Source organism: Homo sapiens, chromosome 2 (genome assembly GCF_000001405.40).
Source record: "Homo sapiens chromosome 2, GRCh38.p14 Primary Assembly".
NCBI classification, from domain to species: domain Eukaryota; kingdom Metazoa; phylum Chordata; class Mammalia; order Primates; family Hominidae; genus Homo; species Homo sapiens.
Window position 1 is genome coordinate 145,180,905 of NC_000002.12, and position 13,067 is coordinate 145,193,971.

Genomic DNA, 13,067 nt, shown 5'->3' on the forward strand with positions numbered 1-13,067 from the left:
TAATGAAAAATATTAATTTGAACTAAATGGAAATCATTGCTTTTATAATGATATGCAAACCTGTCTTCTTTAGTTATATTTGTTAAATTTTTGTCTTTGGCACAGTCATCTATGAACTGACTCTGTCTCAAAAAAAAAAAGAAAAAAAAGAAAAGAAAGAATGAAAAAAAAAACTAGGACATGGCTAACAGGAATGGGGACAAAGAATGTAAGTTTGGCATCCCCAAGCAAATCTGATAATATAATCCCCCCTACATAAAAGTCACTATTTTTTCTTACTGTCTGTGCATAGATTAACTGAAACATGCATGGGTCAATCTAAGGAAAGAAAGAGCACAGTCTGGGTGTGGTAGCACACGCCTGTAATCCCAGCACTTTGGGAGGCTGAGGTGAGACAAGAGGATTTCTTGAACCCAGGAGTTTGAGACCAGCCTGGGCAACATAGGATGACCCCATCTCTTAAAAAAAAAAAAAAAAAAGAAAAAGAAAAAAAGAAATTATCCGGGCATGTTAGTGTGGCCCTGTGGTTCTATGTACTCGATGGGGTGAGGTGGGAGAATCACTTTAGCCTGGAGGCTGAGGCTGCAGTGAGCTATGATCACACCACTGTACTCCAGCCTGGGTGACAGAGCAAGACTACCTAGACAAAAGAAAAAAGAATGATCACAAATTACATTAATCATGCATGCATTTTCATGTAACATATTTTAATGCTGGTTTGCCTGTGTGTGGGCAAATACCAAATTTGGGGCTGGCATGACTCTCTCCACATAGTCTAACCTGTCTCCTTCCCTAGCCACTTACTCTTCTTCATTCCATTAGCTGAGAATGCAATTAAGCATTAAGTCTGAATATTTTGTGGTTTTTAAGCATGCCTATTTAGAAGAGACCTAAGAGCTCTACCTTTTTGCTATCTGATGCTACATATAGGGGAAAACAAGCAGATGTTGCTGACAGTGTCAATTAAGGAGTTAATAAGCAAGGAAAGTCCGTCTGTGGCAAATCTGGGTTGAACATCATAGGATCACATTAAGTAATATTTGTTGAGCACTGCTATAAATGAGGCATTATCCAGTTGTTCTGATACAGTGGCCCTGGGTCAGTCCTGTCATCTCTTCAACTGCATTTTCTCTTCTCTTAGACATGCAAGGTCCTCATGATTGTCTCAAAACTATATAGAATTGAGAAGGTGAGCAGACATGAGTACATTTAGAGAAAAACATGGCTTGGTCCTAATAAATGTTTAGTGAGCTTGACCATTAATATCTTTAACATTTTTTTCTTTCTTTTTATTCCCAGCTGCACTGATGAGGAAACTGAAACAGAAAATCCAGAGTAAATTCCACCAGGCCACACAGCAAGGTCTGATAGAGCCAGGAGAGACTTTATGAAATCCAGACTCTCACACTAATGCTCTATCAGCTAGACCTCCATGTGAGTCTCCCCAATGTAGGTAGGAAGTGCTTTCCCTAAAATGCTCATAAAGCAAATCAGAGCAATGCTGCATTCCATGTGATTTCTAATTTGAAATGCAAACAATTGCCAATTTGTTTGACTTGTATTTATAATTATTTCCTTGTGAATTACTCATCACTAAATGCTTTATAAATATTTTCTCTTTTTTTCCTCAATGTCTATGGAATGATCACAGCATAGAAAATGTTGGCTTTCAAGGATTTATTAATATCTCCTTTTGAAATAACATGTATTTGTAAGACAGAATAAAATCACTTTAAAGAAACAAATCTTGAATTTGATTTCCCGTTCAGACAATGACTTATTTGATGTCCTTAATAAGATGAACTACATAGTGACTTTTATTTAAAGGATCCATTATATAAGAAGTAGAAAAGTAAATATGCACACTTAGATGAGCACGGCCTTGCCAACAGCTCCTTCTGATAGATTTTTAGACTTTACTAAGTTTGTGTAAGCCGAAGGCATCACACTGTATGCATTACTGAATCTAATTTCACTTTTGCCAATAACAAAAAAAAACAAGCTAGTGGCATAATATGGCAGTATGCATCATATGCTTACCATAATCTCAAAATTTAACTCTTTGTAAAGAACTGAGCCAATTATTTCTGTCTTTTTGAGCATGAAACCTAATTTAAAGCATTTTTCTAGATGATAAAATAAATACTCCTTTACTCAGAAACTTAACAAATCCAGAATAGAATACAGAACTCAGTAGCTAGATTCAGAATATTGTTCATACTATTTGCTTGGAATCACATCAATATCACGTGATTTTCAAGGAAGAAAAATAAACAGTAGTTCCCCGCTTTTTTGGTCCTGGTTGCTCCCAACTGGCAATAGCGTATGTGTGTTTTAGTCTGTGCTTTGCAAAACTTGATGTGAATTCAAACCAGCACAAATATTAAAAAGTGCAATTTCCACTTTTGAAAACAAAATTTAGAAATTGTTAAATATTAGCAATTTGTTTAAGCAAGGGAGGAAAAGGAACCATTAGAAGAAATTCAGAGGCATTAAAAGGGTCACAAGGATTGACTTATGAGATCAAACAAACAAAAAAAAACACACAATGCTAGATCTGTTGCTGGACAAAACCATGGTAAGCCAAAGCTCTAATAGTGATATATACAGTCTGGGGAAAGCAACTTCACATTTTGGTGTAATTGAGGGAGGAAAATGACCCAGTTCTACTTGCTAATAATAAGTATCATTAGGTAAAGGATATAGTAATTGAAAGGCAACTCCTCAGATTTAAATATTATTTAAAGTATCTTTAAGCAAGTAGATAAGTATAGCAACAATCAAAAATGCTTATTCAACTCAATTCCTACTTTCCCTTCCCAAATCTTAAAATTGATAAAAAACAAACACACAAACAAAAACAAAACAAAACAAAACAAAAACAAAAACCAGAGAAAGAGAGAGCTAGTTGGATACCAATGTCTGAACTCCATACCCCAACAGGGACCTCGTTTTGTATGACTGCCACAGAAACGAGCACAGAGAGGGGCAAGATAATGTAAGGAACAGGGTAGGGGAGGAAAAAATGGCCGTTTTAAAAGGAATGACAAGGTTGGGTGAAACATAAAAAGCCACTCCATAGCCAAGAGAGATTAAAAAGAGCTCAAGAGGGTCATGTTGCTTCCCATTTCCCCTTACCTGATTCTTGCTGCCACTCCATTGGTTAAGTTTTACAGGTTGCAGTAACTGGCAAGGAAGAGGTGTGCCTCTCAGCTGTTCACAATGCAGAATCTTGAAAAGGTCAACATAGTAGCAGTATGACAGGCCATGTAAGTCATTATGTGCTTTATAATTCATTTGTAAGTAGAATGAGAACTGGAGCAAATTAAATGTAAACTCTGCCATAGGACCTCTAAAAACATGTTAGTCATATGGAAAGCTAGGTTTTGTTTTCTATCTAGAAAGACAAACAAATATTTCTTCACAAATGTGTTACTTTCCTGAGGAGAGCAGAAATGGGAGATAAATCCATTTGCTGCAAAGTGGTTTAAAGAAAATATATTGGCAGCAGGAGGAAGGTGGTTTAGGGAGATGATATGTAATAGAATACATATACAAGTACTATGAGCGTTGAGATTCAGGTTAGTGCTAATTAGACATTTCCTGATCAGTGAAAATCGTAAGACTTTCAAAGTCCTGTATTTTAAGAAATAGTAAAATCTATCAGGTAAGATAATATATTTATGACTTACCGCAGTATTTTTGTGATGGTTCTGTTCTTTGTGAAGCCTTATTTTGCATTGAAATTGGCACAATTTTACACCGTTAACCAAATTTTCTTTTAATGGAAACTCACACACACATAGCACATTCTTTAGTACTAAGATGCTAAAGTTGCTGAACATGCTACAGGTGATTATGAGGCAGTAGTGAAAGAGTTAATTATCCATCATTCCTCCCCCCTACCCTAGACATCCCACTGTGCCTCTGTTATAGACTTAGGCACAGTTCCTAATGGCAAAATCTATTAGAATGCACAATATTCTCCCAAGGGAGCTGGTGGAAGTTCTGTCACTTGAGACATTTAAAACTACACTGGGTAAAGCACTAGAGAGCTGTGAGTGCATGTGTTCCAACCCTCAGGACAGAAATCATGACCTAATGGGTGATTTCTATCCCTTAATGTCTCTGATTCGCTGGGTGTTTTAATAGCTCCCTCATATTTAAGTAGATGACCAACGGTCTATTTTTTTTTAATGGAACTTGAGTTTGGTCTGTAAAGTGTCAAGACAGAGGTGACAAAACAAACCACAGGGGAATGGAGGAAGCCTCGTGGAAATTTAGTTGGTTTGAAGGAGGGTTGAGCAAACACAACAGTGTATTCGGGTTTAGCAAATGCCTTGACTTCTTTTTTTTTTTTTTTCAAATGTTTTCAGTTCAAGGAAACCCAAAACACATTTGGCTAAACAGTTTTTCCTTAATTTTCAAACCCATGTGTATTTCAAGGGAAATTTAATCCATGTGTTTCTGATTCATTTACACTTAGCTCATCAAAATGTGGTTTCATAAGACCCATTTGATGTCTAAGAAGCCTTGTGAGCTTTTTTTTTTACAAGCTTTTTTTCTTTGAACCAGGAAGTTACATTTTGCCAAGAGTCAATGGAACTTCAACCAGAAAAGAATCAGTTTTGTTTGGGATCTTGGAATCCTCAAAGTTGGTGGGAGCTAATGAGCCGGGAGGGGAGGGGAGGAGAAGCTGATTCAGAGAGCAGGAACCTTCCCATTTCTAATATGTTATCTGTTCAGATAACTTGAAAATCTAATTTTCTCTCAGTTTATAGTAGAAAATTCATCTTCAATTTTTGAAAATCTTGTGGAAAACATGAGCATGAATTTTATTACAGGGTCCAATGCTGTCACATGATCTGATAATCATCCACTAGTGAGTCTGTGGGTGATGAGTATCAGAGCAGTAATGACATACTTATCTTAGAGGCAATTATTAAGAAGTGACTCACAAAAGTGTTTAGATTGGCCATTTTTTTAATATTTAAAAAAGCTTCCTCTGCCTGGTTGTTGTCGCTCTGTGCACAACACTACTGGTTATTTAAGAAACAAGACAAATAAGACTCAGTGAATGTGCTGATTCAGGTGCACACAATCCCCTATCTCATTGCTGGTGTTGCTAAAGAGCATCTGGGGTAAGGAAACATGCATCCGGTCCATCCGTCAAGAGTCCATGAGAAAGCCAACAATGTTTGCACCTGCAGGATGAATTACATCTTTGGTGAGTGTGGGAAGCTACATAATGAGACAGCTGAGTGGCTGACATTTCTTTTTTCTTGCTCCTTCTGCACCTTCTTTTTGCACTACCTTCATTTTTCCCACTTCCTCTCCCTTTTCCCCACCTTTATACAATCACCACCAATAATGGAGCAAATGTGGCACATCCATCCAAGGATGGGTTGACATGGTTTACACATTGCTTTCATTTGGTTGTTCTTTGGATGAATTCTTCCTTGAGAACAAGATAATGAAAACCATACGGTCATTGAGCACACAATCTGCCTTCACTTTGGCTGTTCCCTCGCAGCCCGTTTCATTTTATAAAGCCTGGTCCCTGAGTTTACGCCAGTAGAAGATCCCAAGCAGGTGGAATCCTGCCCCCTATGGGCTTGCAGAATTCAGCAAACACTGTCAGTTTAGCTCTTGCCTGTCACCCATACATCAGAGAACTTATTTGAATGGAACATCTCTTGCTAGTCTGGTAAAGGTTTAGAAACTTGGCCTTCTAAGTATTCATGTAAGTTCTGTTCTGGGACCTTCATTGTAGGAACTGAAAATGAAAGAACCAAAATAGATATCAACAGATAATTAAAGGAACGTTTGGAAGTTTTTTACCTCATGCAAACCTCAAACTCTGAACCACTACTGCCTAAAGGAAATAAATACTGTGTTATGGTGAGTGAAGGTAAAGGTGTACTTTATTTCTTGGATGAGTTTTGACAGTGTAAAACAAAATGATAAGTTTTTAACTATGGCAGAAAGTTCAGACAACAGGTGTGAGGGAAAAGAATTATTCATTGATTCAAAGTCCCATACAAGTGAGTGAAATGGCTAAAAGCAATAAAATTACAGATGACGTCTTTGGAATTTAAACAAAAGAAGTTTATTTTCACTTTCTAATTTGTAGCTTGCTTTTATAGACACCAAAGAAACATCACAGAAATATTAAATTATTCTCTGAAAATACAAAGATAAAAACTATTGAGGTTTAAGATAGAAGATATTTTCTCTTAAAATTGGCTATGATACTTCTACACTGATAGAACTTATGAAAATAGCCAATCTATTATGACTAATTTAATTTTCTTTCCCAAAGATACATAATTCAGAATAAAAACCGTAATCAATGCCCAAAACACAAATCTCATACATCTTGCTAATGCTGGAGAAATAGTGTCAAGTTCTTTTTCAGTACAAATATATGCAGTACTTTTACTATGTTTTGTTTTTAATTCTCAGAAATCCTTATTATTAATCAAGCAAAACAAGCTTTTTATAATATAGAATTATCCTTCCGCTGTAAGAGTAGAAGCAAAGTAATTCAAAGTAAAATATGAAAAGTGCTATAATTTAGTAAGAGATGGAAAGAAATTTAGAATAATTTTGTTCAAACTCATAATTTTATGATTGAAGAAACAAAAATCCAGAGTGTTTAGGAGTTTGTTCAAAGTTCAAAACCTGGAATCTCTAAGGTTGGATATCAGAAGTCAGCTCTAAATACAAGTTCAGTGCTATTTTAACAATCAATAAAATTTCTAAGAGCAATATATTCCTGAGATGGAACACATCAGAAAAGACTATAGGGATTCTTTGAATTTGGAAAGTTCTTACTAGGTAGAAATTCCAATAAATACAACAGATTAAAATGGAACTCATTCACTGAGGTGGAGTTGGAAACCCTAGGGTCTCATTTGTTAGCTCCTCTCACCCACTCCTTCTGAGGGCCCTCTGAATACCTTGTAAAAACTCCAAGAGTTTCTTAGGACACTGTCTTAAAACCACCAATAATATTCCCAGTTGTGGTGAGTAGACTCAAAAGTGACCCCAATGACCCTACAAAGTACCACAGACTGGGTGGCTGAAACAACAGACATTTATTTTCTCATGAGTCTGGAGGTTAGAAGTTTGAGATCAAGGTGTCAGCAGAGTTGGCTTCTGAGGCCTCTCTCCTTGGCTTGTTGATGGCCATCTTCTCTCTGTGTCTTCACATGGTCTTCCTTCTGCACTTGTCTGTCTCTTAATTTCTTCTTGTAAGAACACCCATCATTGCATTAGGGCCTGCCCTAGTGACCCCATTTTAACTTAATTATCTGTTTAAAGACTTTATGTCTGAGTTTAATTAAGCTAATACAACAAAATACCTTAGACTGGGTAATTTATAAACATCAGAAACTTATTGCTCATAATTCTAGACACTGGGAAGTCCAAAATGAAGGCACCAGCAGAGTCAGTGTCTGGTGATGGCTCACTCTGCTTCAAAGATGATGCCTTCTCAAGTGTCCTCACAAGGTGAAAGGGTGAGGCATCTCTCTGGGGTCTCTTTTATCAGGACAGCAATCTCATTCACAACAGCAGAGCCCTCATGACCTAATCATCTCCCAAAGGTCCCACCCCCTAATATCATCACCTTGGTGAGTAGGTTTCAATATATGAATGTTGTGGGTATGCAAACATTCAGATGATAGTACCTTATCTCTAAATACAGTTACATTCTGGGGTACAGTGGGCTTTGACATATAAATTTGTGGGTTGTGGGGAAGCGGGCATTTTTCAGCTCCTAACACTCACCTTTCTATATTATCCCTTTGTATCATACCCTCCCCTTGGGTGGGAAATTTGACTTGATTCTAATCTATAGAATATGACAAAAGTGATAGGAGTCACTTTATCACTTCATGATTATGTCACATGATAAAATAACCTGTCTTGTTCTAGAGATTTTCTGTCTCTCTTATAGACTTTGAAAAAGTGAAGTGGCCATGTTAGGAGGCCCAGATGGTAAGGAGCTGAGGGAGGCCTCCAGGAAATGGCCAGCAAGAAGCCGGCTCCCTCAGCCTTGTAGCTACAAGAAAATGAATTCTGCCAGCAATCTGAGTGAACTTGGAAGCTGATTCTTCCTCTGTCAAGCCTCCAGATGAGAATCTCAGTCACAGCCAACACCTTGACTGCAGTCCTTAGCAGAGGACTCTGCCAAGCTGTGCCAGGACTCCTGACCTGCAGAAATTGTGAGGTAAGACATATGCATTGTTTTAGGACACTAAGGTTGTGATAATTTGTTACTAGTATGGAAAACTAATACCTAAACTCTCAGAGTGGTTTTGGAACCAGGCTGTGGGTGCAGGCAGGGGAAATTTTGAGAAACACGATAGAAAATGCCTAGATAGGGCTGGGCGCAGTGGCTCACGACTGTAATCCCAGCACTTTAGGAGGCGGAGGTGGGCGGATTGCCTGAGCTCAGGAATTTGAGACCAGCCTGACCAACCCAGTGAAACCCCGTTTCTACTAAAATACAAAAAATTAGCCGGGAGTGGCAGTGTGCGCCTCTAGTCCCAGCTACTCGGGAGGCTGCAGCAGGAGAATTGCTTGAACCCTGGAGGCGGAGGTTGCAGTGAGCCGAGATTGCACCACTGCACTCCAGCCTGGGAGACAGAGCAAGACTCTGTCTCAAAAAAAAAAAAAATGATAATAATAATAAAATAAATAATAAATAAAAATAAAAAAATAAAGTAAAAAGAAAATGCCTAGTCTTGATAAGATTGTTAGCAGAAACCTGGATATTAAGGACACTGTCAATGAGAGCTGAAAAATGAAGTGATGAGCATGTTATTGAAAATTGGAGGAAGAAGGATCTTTGTCATAGAGTGGCAGAAAAATTAGCAAAATTGTCTCCTACGGTTACACGGAAAGCAGAACTTGTTAGTGATGCATGTGGTCATATAGCTGATTTCCAAGCTAAGTGTTGAAGGTGCTGCCTTGTTTATTCTTGCTGATTATAGTAAAATGTGAGAGAAGAGAGATAAATTGAGGACAGAACTACTAAAAAAAGGAACCAGGACTTGATGATTTTGAAAATTCTCAGTCTCTCCAGATGGCAAAAAAAAAAAAAAAAATTAAAATTAAGGGATTTGCTGTCAAGAAAGCTTGCTCTGGAGAGAAAGCAGAGGATGTGACTCTACAGTCTTTTACTAAAGCCTCGGAAAGATTAAAAGGTTAGGGTATTCAGTAACGCAAAGGGCTCTTTCAAGAGATTAAGGCTGTGCCTCACAGATTCTCCCAGTCAAACCGTAAAGGTTCCACTGAGTAAATGGTGGTGTGCTTTAGTCATTTTAGCAGGATGCCAAAGAAGAGAAGGGATTTACTCAAAAAGATCTGTGGGCCTGGCTTTTGTCTAATGGAATGAACCCCTTTAAAATCCACAGGAGACCCACAAAGTACTTAAGATAATTGTTTCAATGAAGGTGCTACCAGCTTGGACTAAAAAGGACAGAGTACATGTGAAAGGAGGCTGTCAAACTCCCAAAATTCTACTGGCAGGAAATACTGATAAAACTACTCAGCTGCTACCTTTTATGAAAAAGGAAGGGTGACTCAGAAAGCAGAACCAAGAACTAAGAAGGCGGAGCCTAGAGCCGCATGGAATTATCCTTATGTCTTGAAACCTCTTCCAGAAATCAAACCTTTGCCTGGCTGGATATCACGGCTGCCATGGAGCAGTGACTTCCTTTTATCTTTCATTTCCCCCCTTTTTGAACTGGACTGTCTATAGATGTTATTTTTGGTCTGTCCCACGAATTTATATTGAGTTTGTTGAAGGCAGATAACTTGTGTCTTTAGTTTCACAGGATCACAGATGGAGAGGAATCGTGCCTCAGGAGCTAGCTATACTTAACAGATTATCGCCAGAAACCTCATTTTTACCTAGACCTGATTTAAATGATGAGATTTTGAATGTTGAGCTGGTTCTATAATGGGATGAGACTCAGGAAATTTGGGAGGGGGTGAATTTATTTTGCATGTGAGAGAGACATTAATCGTTGGTGGCTGGAGAGTAGACTGCAGTAGACAGAAGCTAAAATGGCCCTGAAGGTCTTCACTTTCATGCCCCTGTATAATCCCTTCCCTTAGAGTGTGGGTAGGGCCTGTAATTTGCTTCTAATTAATAGAATATATACAAGGTTATAGAACATCACTCCCAAGATAATGTTACATTATATAGGAACTGTCTTGCTGGAAATCTCTCTATGATGCTGATTTTGCATAAACACGCTGCCGTGAGTCTTAGAGTCACATGAAAATGAATTCTTTCAACATCTTCAATCAAGTTCTACGTGGGCCTGTCCTCAGGCAAGCCTCTAGATTAGAAATACCTGTTTGTTTGTTAATCTCTTTTTGTGTCCTCTCACCTATACATGGACATGTTGTCTTCAAGGTCAAGAGTTTGTAAGCTTCTGAAATTAGAGGTTATGGCAGTCATCTCTACTGTCTCCTGACACTTCCTGGGGTAGGACTGGTACTCAGATGCATGAGTAAATGAAAGTCAGGGTTAACTTCTTCAAAAACCCAAATCTTTTTTCTCTACTAAGCAAGTTAGTTTATTCTTTACACTGGCTCTTTTCAAGCTTATAAGATGGGTGCCCTAGATCCAGATATACAATAAAGATAAAATGATGTAGAGCAGAAAATGAGAAACTATTTCTATTTACTGTTTCTTTTTATCAGTAAGGAAACATTTCCCAGAGACCCCTAAGATAATCCTTTCATATATCTCATTGGCCAGTCCTGGGTCACATGCCCACCATATAATTATTCCCTGGCAAGCAGATTGGTAAAACAATCGCAACCTGCTAAGACCAGCGATGATTTTTCTGAGTTGCTGGGGAAGAAGTGGACACACGTTAACAAAATTTAGATCTAACAACATGAGGAAAAAGGGGAATTTGCTGTTGCTTGGACAAACAATAGTATCTTCTTCAAGAACATAGCACAATTTTACAAATAATTGTATTATAAAATCACTGAAAAATCCATAAATATTTATTGAGCAACTCCTATGGGTAGTATTCTGGGAGCTAGAGGTGCAATAGTGAAAAGTAGAGTTTCTTTTTCCTACTTCAAATGAGTAATGTCACATGCTGATAGTATAAAAGATAAAATTCATAATGGTAAAGAGTGACTTGGTGAGGGTGTGGCAGGGCTGTTTTATGTACCCTGGCTATGTGTACATCCATGGAAGAATTGCAGGTAACACAACTGACCTGAATTCACACTTAACTAAATAAAGAGATACCCCATTGTGCCCCTGTGGCCAATCCCTTGTTACACTAGTTCTGAATCTCTCTTTCTTTCCCCGTATCTCTAGCCTTTTTTGGCCACTTTGCATAAGGACTAAAACATACCAAAGTTCTCTTTCAAAGTTTCATTATTTTGAAAATGAATAAATAATAGCAGTGCCACCTTATAAAGTTCCACTGTCTGTGCACTGCACAACTCCAGAGACAGTCAGACACAGACTATGCTGTAAGTAGTTGTAGCGTGGTGTCCCTGAACACTTGTCTCCATCCACCTCAGATCTCTGTTCTAGCTACAGCCTTATCTCTCTGTTCTCCCCCTCACTGCAAAAACTCTTTAAAATAATTCTCTGCCCTGGTTGCCTTTTCATTTTCTTCTTCTATTTATTTCTAAAGTCACTGCAATCTGGCTCCCACTCTACCAGGCCTGCAGCATCAACAATGACATCTTTTTACTCAACCAAAGCCTCTTTTTAGTTGACATTTGTTTGACATTTTGACAGCCTTGGATTCTCTTTCTCGAAATATTCTCTTCCCTTTTCACATTCTCCTAAGTTCATTCAACCTCGCTGACTCTTCCCTCTCGGTCTTTATGGGGATTCTTACAATTCTGTGCTGCTCTATATTCTGCATTAGGCTACCTTCTCTTCTCACTCATAAGATGCAGACAGATCAATAGAGACTTGGACAACCAAAATCCTGTTGGCCATTTTGTATTGGTATAAAGTTATGGGCATCTTTTGGATATTTTGATGCATCTAAACCATGTACAGGTATAATCCAATTGTAGACTTTGATGTTATATTTTTGAAATGAGATAGATATAGCTCTATGTACCAACCAAGGGATATCTCACCTAAAACACTGTGATATGTTGTCTACCTGATACATATTAGGTGTTCAATAAGTAATTGTTGAATACATTAATGAATATAATTTTTAAAGGAAGAGTAAATATAAAATCATGGTAACAAATTCTAAAAGATAGATATATAAAATAAAATGTCTATGAAGTGTGACTCAATGATTTATATTCCACTCAGAAATATTTAATTAAGTTTGGAAGACTAAAATTTTATATCCAATATGATACAGATTATTTATCTGGTTCAGACTTGAGGTCAAAGGCCAAATACTTTTGGTATTTTGTGGCATGTCCATAGTCACAATAATAAGAAGGAAAATGTAAAAGCAAATAAAGTAGGGGGGTTTGATTATCTGGGCATATGAATATAACATTTTAAGTCAATATAAGATACAAATTACTTAAGGATAAATGTAGATTATTTGGTTTATGATTTATGAGTGAGAATGATAATTCAAATTTACCAAAATATAAAAAAAATGAAACTGAAGAAATTACATTCTTATAGTATTTTAGTATAAAGAAGAAGAAAAATGATTCAGACTTCTAAACTTCCAGCCAAGCTTCCCAAGGGTCAGTTAGACATTTTTATTAAAAGGAAAAAAAATACAATATAATAAATCCATTATTCTTTCATTTTGCAAAATGTCAAACTCCATGTGATCCTTTTCATTTCTCTGGGTGTTCTAAACAGATCGTATTTAGAGATGGAGCTAATACACAGCATGGCAAGTATAGATCAGAATATGCGTAAAAGGCATCACAACTTGCACACACACCCCACACACATACACTCACACGGAGTATCAAAAACCCTTTAATCTGACAGATGTAATAAAGCAAAAGTTCTCTGTTGAATTTCCCCTAACATCTATTTATGACCCACTTTTGTCTCATGAAAATGATTT

The 13,067-nt window shown here is 37.4% G+C and overlaps 1 long non-coding RNA gene across 1 annotated transcript in view; it reads left to right on the forward strand.

Annotated features, from left to right (window-relative positions):
* LOC100505498 (uncharacterized) overlaps window positions 1–13,067 on the forward strand; it is a 257,710-nt gene that overhangs the window by 174,504 nt on the left and 70,139 nt on the right. Inside the window, exons 5-6 of the long non-coding RNA XR_923410.3 lie at window positions 1,300–5,901; window positions 7,964–8,236. This is a non-coding gene — a long non-coding RNA (uncharacterized LOC100505498). The remainder of the gene's footprint in view (window positions 1–1,299; window positions 5,902–7,963; window positions 8,237–13,067) is intronic.